The following is an 18,045-nucleotide window of genomic DNA, read 5'->3' as shown; positions in this document are numbered from 1 at the left end:
AAAGTCATGGTGTTTTATCTTACAAGAATGATGAGGAATGTATTAGATTTAGAGATATAAAAATTATGCATAAATTACTTTAAAAATCTTTTTAATTGCCCTCAAACTAGGCCATACCTGACTTGGTGTGTATAATCCAAAACAGTAATACATATGCATACTGAAGCTTGAGAAACAGCTAGTTAGACTATAAGAAAAGTCAGACTATAAGACTGAATCTCCAGTCATATGCAGATTCAGGGCTCTTGCCCCCTTTGCATTTTAACATAGTTATCAAACCTCTAGGGTGAGGAAGTATAGCAGAATGGCCTCAAGCATTCCTGCTTGTGTGCAGGGTTTACTTATTTGGTTTAAGTATTAATTCTCTATTATCATAAAGCAAATTACATCTCTTTATTGTTCTGAGAGTTTAAAAATATAGTAGATTCACAGCTTCAATGAGGAAGGTTACCTTCCAAAATCAGCCATAAAGTAAAATATTATGCAATAGGATTCCTTTGGATTCCTATTGTATTATGAATAAAACTGAGTTTCAGAGAAATTTAAGATATGTACCCCAAACCCTAGTATAATTCAGGACCAGAAAGTAATCTCAGCTCATCTGATAACAAGCTCCAAGGCCCCTTTCATGGATCAGCTGACCAACAGTTTAGCAAGAACAGATCTGGAATCAATTAACCTGGAATTTGATATACTTCAGATCATCTCATTGAAATAAAAGGTTGGGGGACTTAAACATAAAATTGCTGCATACATCAGGCTTGATTCACTAGAGAATGAAAGCCAGCAATTTCCCTCTTCACAGACAAGATGCTTTAGGATAGCCCTTCCCAGCCTTGATTTTGCTATGATACTCAGACGATGTTCTCCAAGGAGCAGAACACACTCCCTGGATTGTACCCAGGTGTGGACTCCATGAGTTTGCTCTAACTGTGCTTCCTTGTCTCACATTCAAGGGAACGCATCAGAATGCAAGGTAGTTAAAATGACATTGCCTGGGGAACCTTGAAAGCTCTTAATTTTGTATTAAGAAGTAAGTCATACACAAATGGCTGTGTTTTACTGTTACTTAGAGATTTTTTTTTTATGACACATTTACTGTCACAACTCCACAAAGTCATTGGAAGGATTATGCACAAGGATGCACAAGGTACTCAGAACAGTGCCTGATCCGTCGTAAGTGTGCAATGCCTGTTGTCCATGATCACCGTCATCAAGAATGAAAAGAGAGCAAAGTGATTGAGATGGTTGGGCTGTGTCCCCACCCAAATCTCATCTTGATTTATAGTTCCCATAATCCCCATGTGTCATGGGAGGGACCCAATGGGACGTAATTGAATCATGGTGGCAGTTACCCCCATGCTGCTGTTCTTGTAATAGTGAGTGAATTCTCATGAGATCTGATGGTTTCATAAGGGGCCTTTCTCCCTTTTGCTCAGCACTTCCTCTTGCTGCCACCTTGTGAAGAAGGACATGTTTGCTTCCCCTTCCACCATGATTGTAAGTTTCCTGAGGCCTCCCCAGCCATGCTGAACTATGGGTCAATTAAACTTCTTTCCTTTATAAATAACCCAGTCTCAGGTAAGTCTTTATTAGCAGCGTGAGAATGGACTAAAACAATGATTCCACTCTCTTCTGTGGATCAGAAATATCAATCCTTTATTATAAGGAAGTCAAAAAAGTGAATAATGGTGCCACAAATGCATCCACTCTTTTAAGTATCCCACGCAATGTAAAAACTTCCCATGGGACCAGGCGCGGTGGCTCATACCTGGAATCCCAGCACTTTGGGAGACCGAGGCAGGTGGATCACTTCAGGTCGGGAGTTTGAGACCAGCCTGAAATCTGTCTCTACTAAAAATATAAAAATTAGCTGAGCATGGTGGGGATGCGCCTGCAGTCCCGACTACTCAGGAGGCTGAAGCAGGAGAATCACTTGAACCTGGGAAGTGGAGGTTGCAGTGAGCCGAGATCGCACCACTGTACTCCAGCCTGGGCAACAGAGTGAGACTCCATCTCAAAAAAAAAAAAAAAAAAAAGGTTAATGTGGAAACTGGTGCCCAGCAAAATCAAACTATCTTAAATAACTACTCCTAGAGCTTGATATCCTACCATGCTTTCAGCAGTCCTGATTTTTAAAACACTGAAAATAAAATATTAACATGGTATAAAGATAATCTCAAAAAAAACATGGTATAGTATTTTCTTTTTGTGGAATTTTAAGTCGTTTTGTAATGTATGAGGCTGACAGTTTATATCCATTCTTCCCTTTAACCTTTTGAGACTTAATTTACTTATCTATAAAACCTCAGTTAAAAGATTTATCATGCCTATTGTACAGGGCTGTTGTAAGAATCAAAAGGAACAATGTAAATAAAAAATTAAAATGATAACTTATTGTAAAATATTTTATTAGAAATTTAATGGATTTCTTATTCCATAAGAATATTCCATAGGAATAAGAAATAAGTTGCATACCATCATAAAGAACACTATTATAAATACTGTTTATTAAATATTATCTCATTTAATTCTCTAAAACACTTTTTAAAATAGATACTGGTGTTATAATCATTAAAAAGTAGCGAGATTAGGTGTCAGAGAGGATAAGACTAATTGCCTAAGAACACAAAGTTGAGAAGAACCAAGATCTGAACTTATCTGAAGAAACTGGTTATTATCCTGAGAGTAAATGCAGTTTTATTATTGTCATGTGATTCCTATTTCTGGAACAACTTAAGCAAATTGCATCTCCATCTTTGCAATTCTCTCCAATCCCTGAAGTCCCGTGACCCAAATTTTTAGATCCATGAAAGTGATATAATTTGGGTTCTCCTTCAAATTAAAATCTTTCTAATCATCCCACTGTGCAGAAGGGGGAAAAAAAAAACAAAAGTCCACTCAATGCATGGTCAATTTCTTTAAAAGTGGAGGTAGGGTTGTTTTGTAATGATGTGAAGCCGCTGGTTTATACCATGCTTCCCTTTAACCATATGATATCCTGCCTAAAAAGCGGTCTTTACCATCTGAAAATTTTCCTAATTCACTTACCAGACTGCACTCATCAAGACATACAATGTTGAGACTGCCTAACAATGAACCACCAAACAGGGCAGAATAAATGTCACTAACTTTGTAACTTACAAAGAGAGATTGCCAGCCAGGGTTGTTAAACGGATCAATGGTATTGAAAGAATGAGTTGTGGTGAGCAGAGTATTGACCATTGAAAAGAGTGATGGACAATTATAGTCTCAGTCCAGTATCAGTGTTATAAAGGTCACTGTTGAAAGATGTCTCAGTTCCCCCTTTTAAAAGTCCTTTTATGCTTGATTACAGCTTTTTCTTCTCCATTATCCTGTTTTCTCAAGTGCTTCTTTCAGAATCTTAATGACAGTGAACAGCCCCATTCAGCAGACAGTAAATATATGACCTACACTATTAGCTTTATTAGAATTTTTACATTCTGTATAGAAATGATAATTTGGGAATACAAGAATTTGCGAATTTTGTATAGGATGAGAATTTGGGAAAATAAGAACACTATGCAAGACTCCAATCAGCATATTACTTAAAATGGAAAAATCTACAGTTGTATATCATTAAGGCTACAAATTGAAATTTCTCCAAAGTCAAGAAATGACAAAAGTTATGGTTCTCTAGGTGGCATTCATTTTCCCACTGTTATATGTACTGTGTAATGCACATGTTGTGTTATACTTACAAACCTAGCTAGTATCTGGGAACGCCACCCAAGAGCAAAGCCCATATTATGACTTAATATTACATAGAAAACTATCTCCTTGGCATTTCTATGCTTTTATGAGATTTCTATTTGAAATGGGAAATTTCCTCTTGAGCAAATGTTTTTAATTTAAGTTTCAGGAAGGAGGATACCGAGAAGGAGAGGAAACAGGTTTTCTGCCCTGACTTCCCATAGTAGTGACTATGTATTATTACATCAATCTCTTTCACCAGATTATCAGGTCTAGAGAAGTAGAATCTGTCCCTAATTCATCTCTGTATGACCCACAGTATCTAATGTAGTCATGTAAAAAGTCAGTGTCAACATTTTTATCTTGATAAGATTAATAATTAGGTGAGGGATCAGATGAATCCAAGAATGAACACCTGTGCATCATCCAAGAAGCATAAAGTAGTGGCTACCACACTTACCTGGGCTCCAAGGTTGGCAAAAGAACTGTATAAAGAATAGATTCCTGGACCCCTCCCCAAATTTCTCATGAAGGACAATTTCTCATTGCACAGACTTGAAATCTGAGTTTTAAGAAAAGTTTCTCAGTTGAATATTTTTTAGCTATCCTGGTTCTAGTCTATGTAATGATATTTAGGAAACTTTGAGGTCAAGGAAGGCCTTGGTTCTAGGTTAGACATGGCTGATTAATTTTACTTCACAACCAACTCTGCATAGTAGTGGCCACTGAGGACCTGATACTCAAATTTAGTCTATGATCCAGCAGTATCACCTGGAACTTATTAGAGAAGCTAAATATCAGGGCCAGAAGCAGACCTACTGAATGAAAATCTGCATTGGAACACAATCTCCAGTGATTCATATATACATTAAAATTTGGAAGCACTGGTCTAGAACAATGCTAACAAACCATGGTGTGTGGATAGGCAGAATCTGTGTCATCTGGCAACTTGCTAGAAATGTAGAATGGAATCTTAGTTCCCATCCCAGACCTACTGAATGCGAATCTATGGGGGTGGTGGGTGTGGGAATGTGTATTTTAACAAGCTTTCCAGGTGATTCTTAGGTATGCTGAAGTTTGAGAACCATAGGTATAAAGCACTGTGCTAAGAAAAGGTGCAAGGGGACACCTGGGCTTACAGCTAAAAGATATATTGATCAAGTAATACTATCTACCCAGGCGCAGAAGGGGAAAGTGATGGCACTATCTCTGCACTAGACAGAAAACTTGATGCATGGCTGTGAGCTTTAAGACAAATACATAGGACTTATGAGGAAATCAAAATTCTTACTAGAATAAGAAGTAAAAGATGAACAACAACCTGCCTCCCTCCAAAATAAAAAAGGGATGGTAGCAAAAATAGAAAAATGATTAAATTCTGTGCAGCTAAAACAAGTGTGGCAATATATTGGTAATTATTGAAGCTGGGTGACGGGTAGTGGGATTCTTAGTTTATATTATTTGTTCTACTTTTGAGTGTATGTGAAATTCTTTATATAAACAGTTTGGAAATAAATCCATCTGGAGACATATTATTGCCTGAAAAGTTAGGAAACATTACCAGTCTTTTAAGACTGATAATATCCATTGTCGGTGTGAATGAAGAGAGAAAGAAACTCACAGCTACTGTTGGTGAGACTGTAAATAATTACAGCCTTTTTGAAAGGCAATTGAGAGTACCCATTAGAATGTTTAAACATGCTTCACACATATTGACCTGGCAATTCTATTTCTAGCCTATCTACAGAAAAAGTCACTCATTTGTGTAAGGATACCGTATAAAGATGTACTGGGCTTTATTTGTAATAACAATAATTTTGAGAGAATCTATGTTACGATGGGACAGTTTTGTAATTGTGATTTGCTCATAGCATGGACTATTGTACAATTATTTCTAAATGACTTATGGCTAAATGTATTGACCTGAAAAGTTGTCACGATATATTGTTGAGTAGAGGAAAATGTCTATCATCCCCTTTTAATGGGGATGGAAAGATGACCTCAATGCTTTTGTGCGTATCTCTCTACACTTAGACAAGAATCTAGAAGTCTGATACTAAACCTTTAGTTGTTATTTCAGAGAAGGAGGCAAGGATTACATCTGTTTTTGGAAGGCTGTCCATCACTTTTAACTCAATGTAAGTTTGTTCTATTTTTTCTATCTTTTGCATCTTGGGGTCCATGTGAAATAGTTCCAAACAATAACATATAAATGGATGTTATTGAGAAAACTCTTAAGTTTGGAGAAAGCTCTTTTATGAGCTCAGATTCGGGGAGCACCTGCCTTTTTTTTTCCTTTGGCTTTTCCCCCTTTTCCAGTCTGGAACCTGGAGAAATACCTTAAGAAGGAGAAGCTGTTTTGCAAGCTTAGAACCAATGGTTCCATGCTTAGAAGTGGCACAATAGAAAGCCAGAAGGATCCTGAGTAATCGATAGAAGTATAAATTCAGAGCATCAGCCCTGGTTGACTCTCTTTCAAATTTCTTATGCAAATGAGATAATATCCTTAACGTTTAAGTTAATGTTTTTCAGGTTTCTTCACTGACAGCCAAACGATTGCCAGCCAAAGCATTACTGAACTATCTAGGTGTCCTGGTATGATTCTGGTATGAATAAAGGTGGAATACACATTCTAATGTATGCACTAATATATATGCAAGTAGGTTTTACATAAGGAGATAACTTATATATCTTGTTCTCATGTATTTCCAGCCTTAGCACAGTGCCTGGCACATAATTTCATGGAGGAATAAATAAATCCATGAAAGAATAATGTACATACTTATCTCTCAATTGTGGGATTATAGATGATTTTAATTTCCTCTTGTATACTTGACTATATTCTTTGAATATTTAAAATCAGAAAAAAGTTATTTTTAAAATTATTAAAACTGTATAGGAAAGCTATATGGTACAGCTTGATGAAGTGGAACTGTGTTATTCTACAGATTTTAACATATTGCATATCAAACCTTTTCCTCCTCCCTCCCTCCACAAACTATTTTAAAAATAGCATAAAATCCTGATAAAACTCAAGACAGATATTAGTCTGATCCTCCATCAGGATGATAAAGGAGGTTTACTCTACAATTATATTACATATTTATAAAGTAAAACTTAGAAGAAACTGGTTTCTTTTACATTGATGGATGTCTCATCAGAAACCATTAGAAACAATAAAATATTAAGCAACTTTGTTTTCTGCTAAGAATGCATGTACGATACACAGTATTTCAACTCAGGGGACATATTTATCATACCTCTTGGTAAAACTTTGCACACAAATCAACTGAAAACCCACTGGGTGGCACAACAACTTCTGCAACATTTTAGAAAGTGGCATGGCATTAATACTTTCATACCAGTGTTCTCAATAGGGCCATCTGGCAATGTCTGCAGACATTTTGGGTTGTCGCAAGAGGGGAATGCTACCAGTAACTATTGAGTAGCGACTAACGATGCCACTAAATAATGCTCAGGACAGCTCCCATGACCAAGAATTATTCAGCCCCAAATGCTAATAGCACTGACGTTGAGAAGCGTTGCTTTAGATAATTTTTTTCTTTTCTTGTTATTTAGTCTGCAGCTACTCTTAGAAATGGTTTGACTATTTTGTCTTCTGGGTTTTTTTTTTTAGTTGGGTTATTAAATTACCAATTGGCTGACTGAATTTCAACATTTAAATTGTTTTTTTCTAGTCTTAGAATTTTAACAGTAGATATACAGTCAGGGTATTGTAATTGTAGAGATGTTTTCATTCAATGAATATTTACTGAGAGTCTAACAGGTACTAGACAGGGCCCAGATACTAAGTTTGCAGAAATAAGTGGGAAGACATGGTCCCTATGCTCAGGTACTTACCATCTAGTGAAACAGAGAAAGCCCCTAATCCTTAGCAAACAGCAGGCTCAGTTAGGTAGTCGCATTTGGGGGCAGCATAAATAACTTTGAATTTGAACTCAAGTCCCGAGTCCAAATTCCAGTTAACCATTTCTTTCTTTCTGTGTATTAAACAAACAGCACAGTCCTGCTTCCTGATTTTTGCCCTATTTACTCTAATGCTTGAAATGCTCTTTCTTCAGATCTCTTCTCCACTAGCCCTTTTGTCCCATTCAGGTCTCCGTTCAAATGTCACCTCCTCAGAGAGGACATTCCTCATCATTATCTCCTCTAAACTTGCTCTATCCCATTTTTGTTTCATATACTTTATCTGAAATTATCTTGCATACCTGTTTAGTGTTTGATTCCCCCACAGTGATTTCTTTATGACTTATGCAAAAAAAAAAAAAAGTCCCCTAATCTTACAAGGCCTTGGATGATCTGAAGTCTGACAATGCACATGATCTTGCTTGAAGCCCCCTTTCCTTCTTTCTCCTTTCCAGCCACACTGGTTTTGCTCTGCACCTTCAAGAGAACACATTCTTTTGAAGCCTTTGGACATCTCTCCTTTATTCCTACCCCTTGGCAGTTATCTTTAAATATGACATCTTTCACTCCCCCACAAAGATTGCCCTCCATATTTCTCCCCAACATTACTTATTACATTTTAATTATTTGCTTATTTTGCTTACCTCCTCTTTTAGTCCTAGACCTATAAAGGAAGGACTCTTGCTTTCTAGTTCACTGCTATCACCCCAGTACCTGCCATAAATTCTTCGTTAGATGTGCTCAGCAAATACATATTAATATATATATATCTCAATTAACTTTATCCTGCAAACTTAAAACTAATTTTTAAAAATAAAATATAATACAACATGTAATATAACTTATCTCTTTTTTGCCTGCCTATGTCAAGAAATATGAACTTCACTGTCCCACCCAGACCATGCTTCTGTTTTGCAAATTGTATATGGTCTATGTTAATTTTGCAACAACAACAAAATGACGAAAATAATGTCCTTTGGTAATGGAATCATTTCTAGAGAAAACAGCAAAACAAGAAAGAAAGAGAAACAGAGAGAGAGAATGCACAAGCAGTCGCATCTCATTAAATTAAAGCACACATTAGACTTCTGAGTAAGGCTAATGATACACATGCTAGACAGGCAGCCCCCACCACACAGTTACATGTGGGCGGGGGCGGGGCGGGGGAACAAACACCAAAAATCCTCACTACTTTTGTGAAATCTTGATGATTTGATTTATGGGTGCTATAACTATCTAGGCTCCAAAGTCCTCCCAGTGGAAAATATTGCTTCCCACAGCAATTCAGGCAAACTCTGAAGAGTAGCCAAAGCAGGCTGTGTCTTGTCCTTGAGGATATTAGCTGCAGAACGATTTTTGCAAACCACACTGTGAAGCTCACATTGATCTGCCAGCAGTGTTTGAATCTGCAGGCAGAAATGAACTTTGGCTTTTCTTGAATGTATTGGCATCCCACACTGTTTTGCTTTTCTATTAATTTACCATTTTTCTCTGAACACTAGACAGAAAAATGTTGGATGGGGTTTGGAGAGTTTTCTCTTTTGAATCCTTCATTTAATAAAACTTTCATCATAGCTCTTTTTAATCTTTTGTCCTTCTTCATGAAAACCATCATCCTAAACAGCATAAAATGAAACTTAACATTCAGAATCTGGGTTTATGAAATTTGTAGTTTGAATTTGGAATTGGAAATTCATGCACACAACTGAATAGACTGTTTTGAAACCACCCTAAGCGTAAAACAGAAAAGATAATGCCATTTCAAGGCCAGCCAACTCCCACAGTTCTTAATAAGACTTGCACTCATTTCTTATTTCTTGGCAGGTAATCTCATATCTTTACCCTAGGGCCTGGCAAGAAAGCTGGTAAGAGCAAATCAGTGCATCAAAGCCATGTAAATTTAACAAAAGAGTTGGTCTGGCTTAGAGATTTTTAGAAATTAGAATAAAATGTTGACATACGAGTCCCTTAGAGATTGTGTTGTACCTGCTCATGTTACGGACAGTGAAACTGAGTCCTAGGGATTTAAAAAGGAATTTGGTGTCAGTCACACAGCCAGGGATAAGACTGGAATATTTCTTCCTGTGCATTATACTATTACCACCTAGTTTAGCTCACCGTTGTCTCTACCCTGGATTTCTCTGAGAAATACCTAACTGATCTTCTAGCTTCCATTCTTATATTCTCTTGTTTATTTACAGAAGCAAGAGTGGTTTCAAATCACAATTTCTATTAGTCTTAGGGAGGCAGAGTAGTAGCAAGAGCTTAAAATGTGGGCATCCATCTGCCTTCAGGTTGTTCTCTTGCTTGGCCTTTTCTTACCTTGGTAATCTTACCTGCTTAGCTTGTCAAACCCAAGCTTCCTTGTTTCTTCAATGATTTGACAAATTTACCTAAAGCATATGGGGTTATGAGGATGAAATAAGATAAAACATTTTATTTTTTAAATGTGTCCTTTGCAAGACACAAAGAGGACAATGCAAGCTCTGACAACACATTACAAGGCCACGTGTGATCTGGCCTCTTCCTTTCTCCAACTGCAACTTCTACCACTGTCCCCGACTTGCTAAAGTTTAGCCATGCTGGTCATTTAGTCTTCAAATACATCTTACCCCAGGGGCTTTGCACTTGCTTTCCCTTCTGTTTGGAGTGCTTTCCTTCTTCCCCTTCACATGGTTGAAGGCTTTTACTCATACACCTTAGCTTATAGAATCCTTTCTATATGAAAATGAGGCTGGCACCATTTGTATTAATATTTGTTTCCTTGCTTGCTTTCTTTTTTTCATAGCCTGTGGCATAATTTGCAGTTATTTATTTTGGGTTACTTATTTTTATTCCCCCCCACCACCACCAATTAAAATACAACTCCCATGGATAGCATAGAGATACGGACAGAACAGGCCAGGCCAGGCCCTCAGTTCATTCATGTAGAATAAAAGAAAAAAGAAAGAATGGGATTTGAATTCAAAGCTCTGACTGTCCAGCTCAGTTTCTAACTATATGAAGATACAGGTATTAAAAGAAATGCAATTTTAATGTTTTAGTAGTTTCTGCCACTACCTGCTCATTGCTTGGCCTGACTTTAAGGTTAGCTTTGGCTTGAAACCATTTAGGATGTCCTTACAATGTATGAAAACTAAACCCACAGGAATGTTTTCCTGAGAATTTTAGATCCTATTTGAATATTTTCTTTCATAGATGAGGAAACTACGCCCAGGCAGATGAATTTCCACAAGTGTCACAAAAACTGCTGGTATTCTTAATACCTTTCTTTTTAAAAAGTCCAGTTTCTTAAAAACAGAATAAAAGTGCTGTTTTCCCTAATTTGCATTGAATCATTATGTTCCATTTATTGCATCCCATTATACTCAATAACCATATATTCATCCATCACCAATTCTTTAGTGATTTTATGATATGCCAGGCCCCATGTTACGTGTTTTATCTTATTTCATCCTCATAACCCCATATGCTTTAGGTAAATTTGTCAAATCTTTGAAGAAACAAGGAAGCTTGGGTTTGACAAGCTAAGCAGGTAATGTCACCAAGGAAAGAAAAGGCCAAGCAAGAGAACAAGCTGAGGGCAGATGGATGCCCACATTTTAAGCTCTTGCTACTACGCTGCCTCCCTAAATGAAGATCCAGCAGCACACAGAAGCTAACGTGGTTTTCCAGAGGATTGTGTTTTATTACAAAAGAGCAGCTTTTCACCTGGTGGGAATAAGGCTCTTTTTCTGTAAAGTGATTTCTATCTTTGGCAGAAAGCAACTGCAATACAAAGGCATATTTCACTCTGCTCAGAGCTTGGATCTCCACATACATTGCCATAAGTCAATAGGATCGGGGAAAGAGAATTTCCCCCTGAGCATCTATTTATAGTTACACAGTGCAAATCACTGTATACTTGAAAATCACTTAACCATATTTCAATCATATTAGTGAAACCCTCCAGCTGGTGTCACATCCCTGCTTCTGAGGTGAATAAACTCATTGTATATATTTAAATGTGTGTGTGTGTGTGTGTGTGTGAGAGAGAGAGAGAGAGAGAGATAGACAAAGAGGCAAAAGAGACAGGGAGAGAAAAATCTAATATGGAAGGGGGGAGATGAAATACAGGTGGATGTTTTCCAAATGTTTCCCCAACTCCCATCCTCTGAAATATTAACTCTTTGGACACTGTGGGGTATTCGACACAAACACCTCGTTTGTGATTGTGACAAACATCAGAAAACGTTTCTCAACATCATAACTTTGTTGCAAAACCTGGGACTCTCTATCTCTTGTCCAAGTTTCTATAAGGAACGTGTCATTTTACTCCCTTTGGGTTCTTAGAAATCGCTGTTTTTCCCACCCAACATTCTTTCTTTCTTCTTGGAATAATACCCCAGTTTTACTAGGGAAATCATCCTTGTTGCATTCTCAGTTACGTGGGTTGAGTGGGGCTGATGTGGCCCAGGCCTGGCCAATTAGAGGTGGACAATTCCATCCCCTGGACAATATGATTGGTTATGGAGTGTGAGTAAGGCAAAGCCAGGCCTGTGAAATGTGATCCTAGGGCTTCTGTGGGTCCAGCTGGGAAGCAGGAGTTGGGTGTTTTGTTGGAATGAATGACCTGGAGGAAAATAGGCCTGGAGGAGTGGCTAATGGTCATCCTTGCACCCTCATGAAGAGATGTTTTCTGAATTTAAAACCAATCCAGGAGGAAGCAGCACCAAGAGAGGAAGGGGGAAGGGGCAGGGTGGGGTAGAATTTGATGCTGTTTGACCCCTTGCCTCCTGTCATGTCCCAAATCAGCTACAACTTTGCAAACTTCAGTTAGTTAACCCAATAAATTTTACCTATTTTTCTCGGCTTAAGCAGTTTAGATTGGGTTTCTATCATTTTCCACAAAGAGTCTTGATTAACATGGACGGAAAATCAATGTTTTTAAGAAGTCTTCAATGGAAACAAAAATTGTTATCTTTTCATCACTCTGTCAGCTTTCTTAAAAAACAAAAGCTCATGTATGCTAAATGCCCCCCAGGTGCTTCATTAATAAACTTTAAATTGAGGCTTGATTTTTGTCTTCTGTTTAATCCATAATACATCTCATAGCTGCCAGTGGGCCAGTCAGGCACACCCTCTAGAAAATGAAGTTATATTTGACCTTCCCTCTTGTTCCTTCATCCACAGGATCAGCTCTAATTAATGAGGGTAGCTCCAGCCAAAAGGAAGGGTACTTGAGTTTGGAAGAGCCTTTTGGTAGACCCAGGTTATACTTTCATCCTGGGTCCACAGATAACCTGGTCCTTTTCATAAATTCTTTACACATAACAATAAGCAAATCCCAAATGATTTCCCTGACAGGGGAATCGATGCTGCATAAAAACATCAATGAGTCTTCACATTTTACATAAGAATGGTCTGGTTTTTGGTCCACATAAAACCAAATATTTTCTAACTTCAAGTGTAGGCAACATAAGAGGTTTGAGGATGCTCTGTCTTCTTCTGGACACAAACACACCAAATGCAACAAGAGTCATCTCAAAATATTAGAAGCTATCATTTATAAACCCCCATGTTCTGATAATCTGTCATAGAAGCCCCTCCACAACCCCACTGAGTACCCACCATTTCAACCTCATTCTAAACAGGGGCTTAGAGGGATTAAGAAAGTGATGAAGCTGGAGCTCCAGTGGCGCAATCAGTTAGTGCCGGAACTTGTATAGATAGTGATGAAGCAGATATTGAAATCTACTTCCGTCAAAATCTAGAGTTCTAAGAAACTCCAACTCTTTGGCACAAAGAAAGGGAGGAATACATTTGGATGTGGTTTCCTGCAGCATGCCTTTTAGCCTGAAGAAAGGGGCACAGACTTTCCAAGGTAGGCATAGAAATTGTTTCACCAAATGCACATCTGAGTAACAGGTTCGACCACAGAAAATGTACTCAGAGGAAAAGAAAAGGTAGAACTGAAAAGTTACAACATGCATAGAGTCATATAAAGCTTGTATCTTTTCCTTCCCTTAAATATTAAAAAAAGAATCCTTCAAATTGGTTGGTTGCTGTGCATTAAAACTGGTTCTCTCTCTTTTTAAAAATGTTACCTGTTTTTAATTCTCTTAAAAAATTAAATAGGGTCTTGCCATTTTGCTCAGGCTGGTCTCAAACTCCTGGCCTCTGGTGATCCCACTATCTTGGCCTCCCAAAGTTCTGGGATTATAGGCATGAGCCATCACTCCTGGCCAAAAGTTATTATCTCTAATCCCACTGGAAATGTGTGGACCATTGTCTTGAAACTTCTCAAAGTGTTGCCCTGGTGTCAGTAGCATCAGCATTACCTGGAACACTCATAGAAAGGCAAAGTCTCAGGTCTCACCTCAGACCTACTGAATCAGAATTTGTATTTTTTATTTTTTAGAATTGGGTCTCACACTATCCCCCAGGCTTGAGTACAGTGGTGCAATCATAGCTCATTGTAACCTCATCATTATAACCTGAACTCTTGGCTCAAGGGATCCTCCCACCTTAGCTTCTGGAGTAGCTGGGATCACAGGCATGTGCCACTATGCCTAGCTAGTTTTAAAAAAGAAATTGTAAAGATAGGGTCTCACTCTGTCGCTCAGGCTGGTCTCAAACTCCCGGCCTCAAGCAATCCTCCTGCCATGGCCTCCCAAAGCACTGGGATTACAGGAGTGAGCCAATGCACCCAACCAGAATCTGCATCTTTAATAAGACCCTCAAATGATCTATATGCACATTACAATTTGGGAGAATTAGCCTCAAACAGTTCAGCAAAAGTTTGTTCTTTGGACAGGCAGCATCAGCATCAATGGGAATGTGTTAGAGATGAGAAAGAAGGGAAGGAAAGAAGGGAGGAATGAAGGAAGGTAGGGAAGAGTTGGGTAAGGAAATGAAGGAAGAAATATCCACATTAGTTAGAAATTCTTACATGCCAGAATGTAATGGGGTATTGGAATTAATGTTAGTTCAGTCAGGCAAGACAGCTTAGTGTAATGAGTTTGTGTCAGCCACTCTGAAAGTTTACATCTTTTTTAATTATCATGATTACCCAACTGACTGGTTTCTTTCTAACAGCAGAAAAGTGCAGGGAGCATGTGAGTTAAGCAACATTAGCAGCCCCTACAGCACATGCATAAGGCAAGCAGAGTGGAAATGTCAATCAGGCAAGAGGTGGATATTTTTAGGTTTCTGGAAGAAAACCAAAGGGCTTCGTTTGACCCTGTTTTCCCTGTGTCAGGGTGCCTGGTCTCTACCCACTATTCATCCATTCTTTTCTTTGCTATCCCTTTCACCTTTCATTTCCTTCACCATATTTTCTCCCAGTGGGGGAGAAAAAATGATGATAATACCCATCAAAAAGAGGTCAAATATCACAGGAAGAAAATATCTCAAGGACTCTAATATTTAGCTGACAATTGAACTGCCTGGCTCCCCCCATCCATGTCTCCACACCCACAATGAGTTGAGTCACGGGGGCCACACGTTTTTGGTCTCCTGTTTGAATCTGCTAAAACTCAAAATGTCAAAGTTTCAGCAATATCTTAAAATATGTCTTTCCTCCTTTAAACTGAAATGGTGCTCTCTCTCCTCTTATTTTCTTATATCCTGAAGTAGCTGTCCTTTTTTAGAATATTCTCTCTCAGAGCCAAAACTTTGGTCATCCTTTCAGAATAAGGAGGACTCAGAATGGCAGTCAAATACCTTAGAACTTTATTTTTGGAAGATGATGTTATAAAAGAGACTAACAGTATGATTCTGAAAACATGCCTCACCTCTTAACACCTCTTTGAAACAAAGTCAGAAATTTTTCAACACAAAGAACAAGGAAAATGCATTCTCTGGGCTGTCAATGGCAAGAGACTATAGCTCTTCTAATGAGTTCATGACTAAGAAAAACTCCAGAACTAAGTTATCTTTGCCAGTTTGTATTTATAGTAGCATCTAGCAGCCTTAAAATTATCTGACAATTGTCTAGCAGAGATTTATCGTGTGCGAGTAGTCTTCCCATTGTGGACTACCTATTTGAAGAAATAAGAGGAGTCACAGAAAATGTGCTTACAGGAAAAGAAAAAGAAGAACTGAAAAGTTACAACATGCATAGAGTCATATAAGACTTGAAAAGTTAAAACATGCATAGATCCATATAAGGCTTATATCTTTTCATTCCCTTAAATATTAAAAAAAAAAGAATCCTTCAAATAACCTGTGCAAGATAGAACAAAACTTTCAAGACGTAGAGAAATATCAACATAATCAGTTATCTTTTCATGAAGGAAAATCTCCAAAAATTCCCTGCACAAATTTACTTGAATCAGGGCACCAATCAAAAGCACTTCCATCTATAGGGTGGGATAATTCTTGGGATCACTAGGTACACAGGCTTGGTTTCCCACAGCTGCACCTCATATTTTGGCTTCACACCTCATTTTCCATATAACTTATATGAGTTACTAAAACTTCTGGAGTTTGGTCTCCTTGTCTGAAATGATAATGATGTGACAACCATGGAACCTAAGTAGAACAGTTTTGTTTGAGTAAAATGATACTTGTTAAGGGCTTAGCATACAAGTATGGGTTCAGTAAGTTTCTTACAAATGTTTTAAAATTGGCAAATAATGATTGTATTTTGGGGGTACAATGTGATGTTTTGATGTATGTCCACAGTGTGGAATGATTAGATGAGGCTAATTAACACAACAAGTCTTATCTGTGTGTTCCTATAGACCAGTTTACACAAATGAGTCGGAATAAACTTGACTTGTTGTGAGGAGAAACTCAGCTTTCTCTTGTTAATGCGTTCCCTAGGGAGGAGGATTATTTGCATGCAGGAAGTCAATCAATGGGAAATCTGTTTTTATTGGCACCCAAAGCCCCCTGTACCTTTGGCAATATTCATAGGAGAAACTGGAGTCCACCGAAGGTTCTTTTGCTTGACTGAGCCCAAGAGTGGATGTGCCTCATTAAAGACTAGTCAGGCAGGACACGTAGCTTCAAATTATGATAACAAGCCAATTAAAACCACATACTTATCGCTGAGAGTTGGGCAGCATCCTCTAGAGAGGTGGAACACAGAAGACAGGTTAACTGCTGAGCCAGAGCTGCCAGATTCTTTGGCCTTCCCTTTCCCATCCTCACTATGTGCCAAGCATCTGGGAACTGTGTCTTCCTCTGCTCTCACCCGGATCCTTTATTATGTGTCTCCTGCAATGCCCCATGCTCCTAAATCCACATCACATAGTTTGCAGCCCTATGTTCTAGAAATGCAGAATTTCAAATGTGCAACAAGTCTCGGTAAAGGGAGAATAAAAATACTGTATCTTCCAGAAAGGTATAAAGATCAAACGAGTTTCTGTTTGTGAAAACCCTTATAAACCATGAAAAACAAACCAAATGCCAGTATCATGCGGGATGGTAGTGAAGGGGTGTCAGAGATTTACTTAGGACCGGGCTGTTTATATCTACTCTTCTGGGTAAAGACAGCAGTTATGTTTCGTATAAAACCTTCAACTTCACAACCCTTGTGATACAGATCTCTTCAATTAAAGGTATTTTATATCTCAATCTCATTCTTTTAAGCCAAAGATCAAGCTTCACTCTCTACCAACTGCTGGGACACCTTTATTACAGTGTGTAAAAGCTTAAATGACCATCCTGGCTGTAAATTAAAGCGCGCTACATGAGAAAGATGACATTCCACTCCTGTCTCAACTCAGCCTGAACACTGACCACTTTTCCTTAATAGTATACTTATCACGGGTGCTTTCTTTTGCCTATGAAGGGAACATTTTATGTCCTGACATGCAGCAGCCTGGCACAGGCAAGAAGAATAAGAACTTGCTGACTATGTCAATAGAGCCTAATCTGACAGTGCCGTTCAATTTAGAAACTCAAGACATTAGCATTCCAGGGATTATACAATTTTTTTTCTTCTTAATATTCTGAACTTTTACTTTCAGGCATAAACCTTTTAGGATGACATGCTAGAGCTGTGCAGTGCCCCAGAGAAAGAGTCCTATACCACTAAGGCCTGGCATTTTAATTAGCCATGTCTGGGCTACACCTGCAGCCCAGATGTAGAAGGCTGACTCAGCTTCTGCAGTACGCAACAGTTCACAGCCAGGGGAATGAACGGATCTGAGTATCTTGCGCCAGTTCTGTAATGAGCCTCAGCAAGACAGGCTCCTTCCAACCAGCTGTAAGGCCATGCTTTTCTGGTTCATGTCATCTTTCTCAGGCCTGGAGGTGAACCCAGTTAGTTCAGGCCTCATATCACTCTGTGCCCTGGAAAAGTTCCTTCCCCTAGTGGGACATATCAAAACATCTTTCTGAAGCTTCAGAATTCATAGAAATTCCCACCAGGAATGTCAAGTGTGATGTGGATAAACCTTGACAAAAGTCAAA

The 18,045-nt window shown here is 38.4% G+C and overlaps 1 protein-coding gene and 1 long non-coding RNA gene across 14 annotated transcripts in view; both read right to left on the bottom strand.

The window, feature by feature from the left end:
* The window catches only part of TAFA1 (TAFA chemokine like family member 1), a 554,078-nt gene that overhangs the window by 262,115 nt on the left and 273,918 nt on the right, over positions 1–18,045 (bottom strand). The window lies entirely within an intron of this gene.
* The window catches only part of LOC107986019 (uncharacterized), a 72,345-nt gene that overhangs the window by 35,456 nt on the left and 18,844 nt on the right, over positions 1–18,045 (bottom strand). For 6 of the 7 annotated variants that reach the window (XR_001740444.1, XR_001740446.1, XR_001740448.1 and 3 more), the window contains one exon: positions 6,958–8,118. This is a non-coding gene — a long non-coding RNA (uncharacterized LOC107986019). Of the gene's footprint in view, positions 1–6,957; positions 8,119–18,045 lie in introns of those variants that run through there. The other variant, XR_001740445.1, reaches the window with a different exon arrangement.

Source organism: Homo sapiens, chromosome 3 (assembly GCF_000001405.40).
Source record: "Homo sapiens chromosome 3, GRCh38.p14 Primary Assembly".
In the NCBI taxonomy this organism is placed as follows: domain Eukaryota; kingdom Metazoa; phylum Chordata; class Mammalia; order Primates; family Hominidae; genus Homo; species Homo sapiens.
The sequence above is the reverse complement of the archived record's forward strand: the minus strand, read 5'-3'. Positions and strand labels throughout refer to the sequence as shown.